We start from the raw sequence: 12,826 nt of genomic DNA, 5'->3' as shown, positions 1-12,826 counted from the left end.
ACAGCAGACCCTCCCCCACACACAACCTTTTCCCTTTAATTAGGCACTTCAGTGAAGCACAGACAGTTGACAATTTAACTCTAGGCACGGCCTTGAGTCCACTCTCGGTTGAAGTGAAAGTGGCTAATTATTGCTGATCTTTAAAGCCACAGACATTATGTACAAAATCAATTCAGAATTTAGAAATAAGTAAATGAATCAGAAAATATTCTGGCAATTAATGTAGATATTAAATCCAAGTATATTAGCTCTATAATTTTAGGAAGAACATTATATCTTTTGGGAGCCAACAAGTGCTTTAAAATTTTTAAAAATAGAGTATAGGCAGATTAGAGATGAGATTTTATCATAATTCTAACTTTTATAGAATATTTTTTATATGAGTGTTTTCAACATTAATCAAAATAGCCTCCCTAGCTACATCTTCATTTTTTGTATTTAACTCAAATTAGACCATGAGATATTTTTTCCGGATTAAAAAATAGTATTTAAGAATTTTTTACAACTTAGGATAAATTAAAGGCAGAATGCTAATTTTGCTTCCTCAACATTTCATGAGGAAGAAAAATTTCAATGTCATGGACAACACTTATGATATATGATCTTTCCTATAGAAAAATAAAGTATACAAAGTATGAAAGAGGCCCGGGTGCGGTGGCTCACGCTTGTAATCCCAGCACTTTGGGAGGCTGAGGCGGGGGGGCAGATCATCTGAGGTCGGGAGTTCAAGACCAGCCTGACCGACATGGAGAAACCCCATCTCTACTAAAAACACAAAATTAGCTGGCCATGATGGCACATGCCTGTAATCCCAGCTACTCAGGAGGCCGAGGCAGGAGAATCGCTTGAACCCGGGAGGCGGATGTTGTGGTGAGCCAAGATCATGCCATTACACTCCAGCCTGAGCAACAAGAGCAAAACCCCATCAAAAAAAAAAAAAAAAAAAAGGATGAAAGAAGAAAATACATTGAAAACAGTAACTCAAAATATATTTTTGAATTTATGGAGGCTAAAACTAAAAACTTTTTAAAAATGGTTGGCAACTCACATGTGTTTTTTAAATTTTTATTTTGTTTACTAGAGACAAAGTCTCACTATGTTGCCCAGGCTGGTCTCAAACTCCCGAGCTCAAGCAAGCCTACCACCTTGGCTTCCCAAAGTGCTGGGATTACAGGCATAAGCCACCGCACCTGGTCTCACTTGTGTTGTTTTGTATGGATGCTTTTATGTTTGACACCAAGAGGATTAACGGTGTTTTTAACTGTCCTTCTCTTTTGCTAGTTTGTGGAGAGATTTCTGGATCTCTTAATTAACAATATAGTGAATTTCATTGAAGGTTGTTTATAAATTAAAAGCTCAGAAAGAAATAAATGATCATGCAATTTTCACTGACAATGAAGTAAGTATTTTGAAGGCTATGGCTGTTTAAAATGTAAATTATATAAAGAGTTGCTCACACACTTAAGTTTTGTTTCCACAAAATATTTATAGCTCAGTGCTATATATTAGAGTTATTGAGTGTCAGTGGAAAGACAGCGGGTTATTGTCATCATTCTCCCATAGCCAAACTATATGACATACAAGAGATTTTTGAGATCAAACAAAATGGAACAGCAGCTATTACATGTTAAAATTTCCAAAGGAAATCCTAAATACTTTATACTAACAGAGAATGGACTACTAACAAGCAAGTATTATTTACTGAGAATGTAATCTGGTTTTGGAACCTGCAGCAAGAAATAACCAAATATATGTGTTTCAAGACTGTAAGTATTTCTTACATGAACCCTATTTTAGAGAGATTCTGATCAATCATTCATCTGTAGAAAAAATGTGGAAATTTGAGTTGAATGTAATAAAAACTGAGATGCAGATAAAAAAATAAGAGATGGCTTAGTATCTTGAGTGCACCATTGCCACATCTGGAGGTATAAAGTTTAAATAAAGTATTTCTCAAATGATTCATCTGAACAGAATATGCATTCAATAATATTAGGAAATAATATACAAGTGAGGACCACAATTTTAGTATACTTCTGAAAGTAGTTGGAAAGCATCTTCTTCAAATAATGGACAAAGGTTTCATTTGATGGCATTATTTAAAAGAGATCATACTATCTCTAGTAAATAAATCTTCATGTCTGAAAGTTAAAGAGGGAATAGATTTTTACCTTCGACAATTACGACTAGAAACGTGAGAAAACTTAATAATTTGGCAACATCACTAGCCACGATAGCCTAAGTTGGTAAACTTAGTTGAAAAAGATGTCCCTTCTCAACAAATCACAGTTAAATGTGAACATTTAATTAATACAGCAAACCTGCCTATGGTAACAAGGAAACTATCTAGCAGCTGTCATGTGTTAAGAAGTTTCATTCCTGCCTTATAACGTAAAACTACTCAATGAAAAGGGGACTCGATAATTGCGTTTTAATCTAAGTAGACCATGAAAAAATATCATTTAAGTATATTTATGAAATAACTATGCTAACTGTTCATAACGAATAATAAAAGCAAAAATGATAGCAATTAGAAATATATATGTGCGTAAGACGAGTTACACATATCCCACTGTGGTGCCAAAACAAAAAGAGGTTTAAATTGAAAACTTATAGGAAATCAGTACAAACTGAATTAGGATTACATTATAATATACATGGGGAGGGGCAAGTCCTTGATGAAAAATGAACAAGGGCCATTATTCAAAAGTACATTATTTATTAAAATAATATATTCCTGAAAGGGTATATGCAAATTTAATTTCATAAATGAAAACATATTTGAAATTTCTCATTCAAAGAGATAAGTAGTGGTTTTTTGGTTTTGGTTTTGGTTTTTTGTTTGTTTGTTTTTGCTTTTTGCTCAATCTTCTTAAATATGCACATAAAGTACCCTGATGGTGTGTATTTCTCAGCCTGTGTGACAGTCTTCACCTTTTAAGGTTGAGAGCTATAGAAATCTCAATTTCTATCAGTATTTTCTTGAAGGGCTAATAGCTCTTGCAGAAAAAAAAGGCACTTTATACACCACTTAATGAGAAAATGCAACAATTGACCATCTATAATTTATTTTAAAATTGTATTTACTTCTGTTTGTTTTGCATATTTTGTCATCTCTATTCCTATTTTAAGCATATAGTTAATAAGAAAGCCAATTTCTCCTTTTCTGAGGTGCTACATCATGCACTCAATTTTTTCAAAGCCTATTTAAATGTTTTTCTCTACGTCTTGATAAAGGGATACATTTTAATGTATATTTTAAAGTAACCTTTAAGGAAGATTTTACACTGCAGTGGTAACCAATTCACAGAAATAAGACATTTTCATTGAGTGAAATGATCCTACTGTCATATTAAATAGTTTTCCACTTAGAAGATAATGCTTTTGCAATCTATACTTGAGCACATTTCAAAATTTTAATCATTCATCTTCTATGCCTAAATGGAGATTTACCCAGAAATCAGGTGGGCAAATAATCAATTTGTAAATTTATAGTATTTTAAATCTTTTTTTTTTTTTACTTTCTATTTATTGGAACCAAAGTTCAAGATTCTAAGTAATCAATTCTATAAAGAAATCTATCCACATATTTAAAAATAAAAATAACATTTATTATTATCAATTTAAATATTTGAGTACTAACAATAAGGAAACTAAATTTAACTAAAACATTGTTAATAGCAATATTGTCCTCATGTTTCATTTAAAATAAGACTCTTAATATTTAACTTTATTAAATAATTTTTGACACAAATTTAGTAACATTTTAGTAATTCACATCAGACAAAATCTATTCCGAGTATTAATGGAAACCCCAAATGTATGCCAGTTGCTCCAAATATGTTTCCAAGTGAAAGGTCTGCTGTAGAAACCAGGAAAAAGCAATGCTGAAAGAGTCTAGTAGCACAATCCTGTTTTTATCATCTATGTGTGAACAAACATGTAGACTAAGGTTAAGTTTGCTCTAGTAACTCTTGAAACAGATAGAATGCTAATCAATGCAGTCACTATAAGATAACATATAACTAAAAGATGTTTTCCAAAAGCATTTAAAGTCCGTAGTACTAGATTTAAAAATAAAATTGCTATGATTGACTAATTTATCTTAATACAATCATCTGATACAGACCTTTTAAGGGATAGTAAATAATTTACTATACAACAAAAGGTCTGAGTGCTCACAAAATGACAGAGTCTATGAACATGCAATGGGCACTTACCAGAGCAATACATGTCATTTCCATAATCTCTATGGGTGGTCCAGGAGTGCTATGGATCTCAAGATTATACCAGAATCTTAAATTGTTAAAATTACCATCTGAAAAACAAAACAAAACACTTTTTAATATAGACTTCAGAATACCATACTTAACATACACATTTGAGAATCATGAACAGACATCATTTTCAACCTTTTTGTTTAATGGACTTTTTGTCAAGACAGCTGAAGAAAGGGTGAGAAGCTGTTTTTATCACAGTTAGTGAGGAATAAGAGAAGCTCCATCCTTGCATGGCCAAGAGAATGTCCTGTACAAGTTCCTGGCCCTATACCTATGCCAGTAACTCATTAAGTTCTTCCATAAAATGAATTTCGGAATGTTTTACTTTTAAGTTAAGGATTAATGTTTCAAAAAGTAATAACCAATCTTTTTTCTCATTGACAAACTATTCATGTATTTGTACATAGATATATCTAAATAAGTCATTACAATTTACAATGCTACATTTCCAGGACCATAAGAATCTAGTATAAGGAGAAAGTCAGGAAAATGAGATTGCATGTTTCCTGAAAATGTGAAAAAGGATCCTAAGAATTTAGCCCAAGGAAATTCTGAAAGGGACATAGACTAAGTCGTGAGACAATTATTTTTATATCTTGCTTTCCTAATATTTTTAAAAAGCAGGCAATTCTGCCCCTGATGATAACCAAAACCATACTCCCTCATGCTAAAACTGGAATCCTCATCAACCAGGCCCTTCATAAAAAGGTTTTTTACGTCTGTCAAATTCAGTTTTGTTTTGTTTTGTTTTTCCTCTCTGTTCAGCTTCCCATTTTGATATTCTTTTGTTTTCCTGTGTTGAACTAGGTCATGGCTTAAGATTGTCCTCCAATTTCAGTAAATTGTATACATATTCACATCAGTATTGTCATGTTTAAAAGATTTCAAGAACTGTTATGCTAGATTAACTTATTTAGGTAAATTGCTAACCTCTTTGGGCCTCAGTTTCCTCATCTATGAAATAAGAAGCACAAACTAGTGGAATTCTCAGTGTTTCTCTCTACTGAAAAGGTTTTTCATGAGTATATGTTTTGCATTGCATTGTACTGTATTGTATGGCACTGTATGACAGTGAATAGCATCGTATTGTGTTGTATTGTATTGCACTGTATGGCGTTCATAGCTTTGTATGGGATTGTATTGCATGACATTGTATTTTACTGCACTGCACTGTTCTGTACCATACTGTATTGTACTATTTTGCATCCTGTTTCAACACTTTAGGTATCTAAAATACTTGTAAGATTGGTGGACCTGAGAACAATCCAGATATTTAACGTAAACAGCTAGTAAGAGGGAGAAAGAGAAAAAAATAGTTACAATTAATAAGACCCAGTTGAATTCTTATTCCAAATAACTATGAGGAGTTCTTGAGGGCAAATTTATTTCCACATTTTGAACTGACTCCTGTACTTGTTTATTTTTCAGACATCAGTTCATTCCCTTAAAAGCAGAAATGTGCAGAAAATAAGGTTACCAAATTTATACTGATGAGAGATTATTAAGGAAGGCTCTGCTCACATTTGCTCCTTCAATTTTATAAAAGCACTTTAAGTGCTTTTATGACATTTAAATGTGACTTCTCCCAAAATAAATCAAAGTTCTTAAAATGAAAAGTGTTTTCCCTTCTAGGTAGCTTATGCATATTTTATCTGGGCCTTTCCAATATTTTAACCCACACTGAACTCACAGAGAAAATAATTCTGGAAATAAACAGTAGCTATGACTGAGGAGATGCTTCATGACTCTGGGTTAATGCAAAGATCAGTGGAACGACTCAGAGTTATAAGGCCAGGGTTCAAATCCCAATGTGACCACCATTAGTTGGTGATTTTTGGCAAAGAATCTCAAGAGTCTGCCCATTTGTGGAACAGGGACTATATTTGTCATGGTTCTTCAGAGAGATGGAACTAGCAGGATGTGTAAAGAAGAGCGAGAAAGACAGAGATTTTAAGAAATTGGCTCACACAACTGTGGAGGCTTGGTAAATCCAAAATCTGAAGTATATTGGGGTAGGTCAGATTTTATTTTACTAAGGTTTTCAACTGATTGGATGAAGCTCAACCACATTATGGAGGGTAATCTGCTTTATTCAGAGTCCATGGATTCAAATGTTAATCTCATCCAAAAAACACTTTCTCAGAAACATTAAAAATAAAGTTGACCAAGTATCTGGGCCCTGTGGCCTGGCTAAGTTGACACATAAAATTAACCATCGCAGGGACAATAACACCTGTTATTTATAATTACTGTGACTATCACACGTGGCAGTGTTGTGATGTAGCTGATTTAGTTCCTACAGTACTAGACATGTACATTGAGTATTAATTTATTGATTAGAGTGGGATTGGTGAATGATTTATTGATGAAAACAACAACAAAATAGTGATTGTTTTTTAACTCTGAGCCTTAAATTAAAATATTTTTCTAATTATAAAATCAATAGCATTCACTATAGTGATTTTAGAAATTCCTGAATAGTATGAAAATGAAAGTTCTTCATAATTTCATGACTAAATGACAGCTACTTAATATATTTGTACAAAATTCCAGGCTCAAAATATCAAGAAAGATATGGATATATAGACATAGACACATAAATATACTGGGGTGTATACAATATACATAATTGATACATTCATATGTACATAAGAATATACACATTTATATTATTCAGAAAATACTCACTATTAAAACTTTAGTTTCAATTATTCAATATATCACAAAAGAAACATTCTTAAATGTCATATGTTTTGTATATCTTTGAATATTCTAACAAATTCCTTAGACTGAATCATTGGATTGAAGGAGATAAAAAATTATTAAAAGTTTAAATATACTATAAATGTTCTCTTAAAAAAGTTTTTATCAATTTAAATTTCTGTTGTAATGCATGCAATTGCATCTTTTGATCTGATTCTCATTAAAAATGGGTATTACCATTATCTTTCATATTTCCCTATTCGGAAGGTTAAAACATTCTGATTTAGGTGTTGCTTTCATTTCTTTGATGAGAGGAAAGCTAGAAGATTTCTCTAATTGAAAATAAATACACTGTGGAGCAGTCTTTAAAAAAGGATCCATGTTATTATAGGGGAAAAGTTAATTCTGTCTGAGAGTAAGGATATGAAAAGACCTGTCTGAAGAATCAGGGATACCTTTAATGTTGTCAGGTACATTTTTCCTAGCTTTTAATCTATCTTTCAACCTGTTAATATGTAGGTTAGTATGTTTATTAGAGATCAGTCTTTTTTAGCCTATTAACATAAAATCATAATATTTTGATTTTCCTTCAAATTCTTCTGAACACTTTAACCCTCATGAAGGTTTTCCTTCATGGTTCTTCTGCCCTAGATATTAATGAGGATTTAACTTTTAACATAACACATCTACAGCAATTATCTATTCCTTTGTCTCACCTGCATGATTTCACTGAAAGAGACCCTAAACCTTTACAACTCATGTTAATATTGTTTTTTTTTTCCTAGTTTCAGCTACAAAGATTCAATTGGCAACTGGATATTGCTATGTAAATATCTTGATGTCAGATCAACATCATGAAGTACAAAACTTTGCTAAGTGTTACAATCTCCAAAACTTTTTTCTTTCCTTCTGAATTTCTTTTTTTTTCTATTGACCAAAATACAAACGAACTCTTATTATTATTTTTTAGAATCAATGCCCTTTTTCATTATCTTCTATAAGGACAGTCATCCAATGCTAGTCTCTGAAATATTTCTCATCTTTAGTGATATTTCTATATTTCCATCACCACCACCACCATAAAATACCTGGTTGTCTTCACTTTAAACTCAATTTGCTGTTGTAGTAGTCTAACTGGCCCAACTTCTCTTCCCAAATCATTTTGAATATTCCTAAATACTACTCTTTAGTCCATGGATTCTGTGATGCTTAATTTCATGTGTCAACTTTGCTGGGCTATACTGCCCAGTTGTATGAACAAACACTAGTCTAGATGTTCCTGTGAAGCTATTTTAGAAATGTGATTAACATTTATATTAGTATAATTTGAGTAAAGCAAATTATCTTCCATTGAGTAGGCCTCCTCCAATGAGTTGAAGGCCTTAAGTGCAACCACTGGTGTTCCTCCAAAAAGAAGCAATTATTTCTCAAGACTGTAACATAGAAAGACTGCCTGAATTTCCAGCCTGCCTGTCCTATCCTGGGGAATTTGGACTCAAGGCTGCAACATTGACATTGACTTTTTAGCCTGCTGGCTTGCCTTGCAGATTTTAGATTTACCAGCTCCCACAATGGTGTCAATTGCAAATCTTTCTCTCTCAATACACACAGACACACAAATACAGACACACACACTCCATCATTTCTGTTTCTGTGAAGAATGCTATCTAATACGAATTCATTCAATAAAGATTTCTTCTTTTGTATAACATTTAAAATGTCTCCACAAGTTTGTCCCTGTTGAACCACTTTTCTTTACTAAGGCCTTGCATCCCTGCTACTCACCCATAAAAGAAAAACTCATTCACCCATTTCCAGGAAACCTGCCCTGAGTATTCCAACTCCTCATCACCTTATTTTACTTGGAACTTGTACTAAAAAGACATGATGTTTAACAACATTCAAATAAAGCTTTATAATATAGGGGGAAAAATAGTGTTTAGTTTCTTTGGCATATGAGGAAGATTGCTAGTATCTCTTATATTGAAGTAAGCAATGCATATTACATTATTAAAACAATATACTCATTAACATTTTATTAGAAATTTGCTGTATGCTTTTGTATAGTGACAGAAAAATATGTAAAGCTTTTCAATTATGAAAGAGTGGGCACCCTTCTAGCTGAAGTATTTTGATACTATTGACATTAATAGCAGTGGAACTCCAGAATATATGCTACATATAGTTAATACTGAAATAATAAAATTCTTATGGAAACATGCAATACAAATTTGGATATGTATTATGCGTGTAAACTATCTATTTCATTCAAAAGTGAATGATGATTTGGATTTATGCAAACTAATAGTGAAACTCTGTCATAATAAACTTACATGTGTCTGCATCATCCAAAATGCTAGATTGTTCTGTTATTGAATCAAGACAGGAGAGGGCTTGATCTTGATCTGTGTCTTCCTCATAATCATCATGTTTCCTTCTTGTAGTACATCTTCTTGTAGTAGAAAATGTAATTGTACCTACAACACATAAGTACAAGATGCCCTATTAATCAGGGTTTAGTTTTCTGAAACAAAAGGTAAGCTACAGATATTAAAGTTACTCTAGCTTAAGATATATAAATATAAAGTGAAAATTAATTCTAGATGTCAGTGTTAGAATTAAACCTCATACCTATTCAGAACATTTTAAGGAAAAGCTCAAGGAAAGAGTTTAAGGAAATGTTTTCAAAATCTCCATTAAAATGGTAATTTTTCAACAACTTTTCTAAGATAATTTTAGAAAGTGGAAAATAATATAAATGCATCAACTTTCAGAATACTTATTGCCCCTGGGTAACTGTTCTTATTTTCTTCCTAAGTCATTTTAATGCTCTATTTATTACCCCATTAAAATAATATTTATTTTATTTTATATAATATCACAATATCCCAAGCATGAAATTTCTTGAAAATATTTAATATATAAAATGTTAAACATTTTGTTATAAAAGTTATTAGTGAGGCCAGGCACAGTGGCTCATGCCTGTAATCCCAGCACTTTGGGAGGCTGAGGAGGGTGGACTGCTTGAGGTCAGGAGTTCGAGACCAGCCTGGCCAACATGATGAAACTTGTTTCTACTAAAAATACAAAAATTAGCCAGGCGTGGTGGCACACATCTGTAATCCCAGCTACTTGGGAGGCTGAGGCAGGAGAATTACTTGAACCCGGGAGGCGGAAGTTGCAGTGAGCTGAGATGGCACCACTGTACTCCATCCCGGGTGAAAGAGCAAAACTGTCTCAAAAACAAAACAAAACAAAAAAACAAAAGTTATTACTATAAAAAATCATCACTCTGGAATTTTTTTATACTAAAGTTGACCTATATAAGTTGGTATTAATTTTTAAATTAAAGTTTATATTCTTATGGAAATGATTCAGAAATGGTCCCTGACCTCTAAATACCAGCTTGACATAAACAAACCTTTGCACACAAAACTGTATGTTTCTAGCCATGCATCAAAATCAAATAGTTTACAGCAATGCCTATAAATACTGTTTAGTTGAATTATGGTAGTATCCACACTTCATTAATTGTAAAGACAAGTAGAACTACAATTAAACACCAATATTTTCTTAGTTTTTACTTGAGAGTAACAAACTCTTCCTGAATTTTTTTTAATAAATTCTATTTTTTTGGAGTGTGGTCTCCTTAGAGAGAGAGCTTGAAGTAAAATCATCTTGAAATAAGACATAATAATGTGTGTATGTAAAACCAACTTGAAATGAAACGCATATGGAAAACAATTAGCCAAAAGCACAGAGCAAATACCCAATAAATGACATCTTTATTTATGTTCTTATTATTCCTGGTTAGGAGATGGTCCCAAACAGTAAGATACTGTTGGTCACACTGCTCTTGAAGAGGACAGATATCTAAAAGAAAGAAATGCCTAATTTGGAAAAAAAATAATATTTTAACTTGTTTCTGGGGGGAGGTGAGAAATACAGGTGTTTCGTGTGTTGACAGGCAATACAGATGTTTCACGTGTTTCATATTTTTACAGACAGTTAGGCAGGTGACCAAAAGTCCTGAAAGTTGTAACTTTAGACATGTCCTGTACAATATGACAGCCATTAGTCACATGTGACTACTGAGCAATTAAAATGTTGGTAGTCCTAAATAAGATGTGCTGTGTGAAATATACATTATATTCCACAGACTGTGTAAAACAGAATGTAAAACATACTACTAATAACTGTATGTTAGCTATGTTGTGAAATTATACATTTGGGGTCTGTTCCAAGGTGGCCAAATAGGAACAGCTCCGGTCTGCAGCTCCCAGCATGATCGACGCAGAAGACGGGTGATTTCTGCATTTCCAACTGAAGTACCTGGTTCATCTCACTGGGACTGGTTGGAGAGTGAGTGCAGCCCACAGAGGGTGAGCCTAAGCAGGGCAGGGCATCGCCTCACCTAGGAAGCACAAGGGGTTTGGGGATTTGCTTTTCCTAGCCAAGGGAAGCTATGATAGACTGTACCTGGAAAAATGGGAAACTCCTGCCCAAATACTGTGCTTTTCCAACGGTTTTAGCAAATGGCACACCAGGAGATTATATCCCACGACTGGCTTGGCGGGTCCCACGCCCACGGAGCCTTGCTCACTGCTAGTGCAGCAGTCTGAGATCGACCTGCAAGGCAGCAGCCTGGCAGGGGGAGGGGAGTCTGCCATTGCTGAGGCTTGAGTAGGTAAAGAAAGAAGCTGGGGTAGCTTGAACTGAGTGGAGCCCACCGCAGCTCAACAAGGCCTGATGCCTCTGTAGACTCCACCTCTGTGGGCAGGGCATAGCTGAACAAAAGGCATTAGAAACTTCTGCAGACTTACACGTCCCTGTCTGACAGCTCTGAAGAGAGCAGTGGTTCTCCCAGCACGGTGTTTGAGCTCTGAGAACAGACAGACTGCCTCCTCAAGTGGTTCCCTGACCCCCGTGTAGCCTAACTGGGAGACACCTCCCAGTAGGGGCCGATTGACACCTCATACAGGCTGGTGCCCATTTGGGACAAAGCTTCCAGAGGAGGGATCAGGCAGCAATATTTGCTGTTCTGCAATACTTGCTGTTCTGCAGCCTCTACTGGTGATACTCAGGCAAACAGGGTCTGGAGTGGACCTCCAGCAAACTCCAACAGACCTGCAGCTGAGGATAGAGACTTGACAAGATGGTAATATTCTATATTTGTGCTATCCAATATGGTAGCCACTAGCCACATATGGCTAATGTAATATTATTTGGTTTTAATTAACTGAAATTGAAATAGCCACATGTTTCCAGTATCTTTAATACTGGACAGGACAGAGATTAAACTGAAAACACATTCTACATAGTAAAGAAAGTATTGCTTCATACAAATTTTGTTTCTGTTTTATTTGTAGCTGTGCATATAATAGAGAATATGTATATGTTTGTGTTTATTGAGTCACAATGTAAAATCAATATTTTTTTAAATTCTAGGCCTTAGACAAAAATGTTTGAAATCCACTTCTTTTTAAAAATGCATTGTCCTCAGGTACATATATGTCCTCACTGTCCAATGCAGTGACAGCAAGCCACAGGAACAGGCCATGAATTCCTCCAGGCACAGATCATGCCTGCTATGGGCTTTGAATACTTGTAAGACATAACATTTACTATCATCAACAGAACACTTGCTGCTTTTGTTTTCCATTTTAAAAGACAGAGGATAGAGACTTGACAAGACAATGTGACATCTTATATTCACTATCAGCTTCATTTTTCCATTATTGGATCACTTTTATGTTTACATGGAATATAACTGCTATTATGAAACTAAATGTGAATAATTTACTGTACATGTCCATGAAATTAAATAATTTCTTCTATAGTTG

At 34.0% G+C, this 12,826-nt stretch overlaps 1 protein-coding gene across 2 annotated transcripts in view; it reads right to left on the bottom strand.

Moving 5' to 3' along the window:
- Window positions 1–12,826, bottom strand: part of CFAP47 (cilia and flagella associated protein 47) — a 465,584-nt gene that overhangs the window by 95,371 nt on the left and 357,387 nt on the right. For both annotated transcript variants that reach the window (NM_001304548.2, XM_017029452.2), the window contains exons 50-51: window positions 9,317–9,460; window positions 4,221–4,318 (exon numbers count right to left, since the gene is read on the bottom strand). In NM_001304548.2, the coding sequence (NP_001291477.1) occupies window positions 4,221–4,318; window positions 9,317–9,460 (242 nt within the window). The remainder of the gene's footprint in view (window positions 1–4,220; window positions 4,319–9,316; window positions 9,461–12,826) is intronic.

This window comes from Homo sapiens, chromosome X (genome assembly GCF_000001405.40).
Source record: "Homo sapiens chromosome X, GRCh38.p14 Primary Assembly".
Classification (NCBI taxonomy): domain Eukaryota; kingdom Metazoa; phylum Chordata; class Mammalia; order Primates; family Hominidae; genus Homo; species Homo sapiens.
Note: the sequence above shows the minus strand (reverse complement) of the source record. Positions and strands in the feature narration are given on the sequence as shown.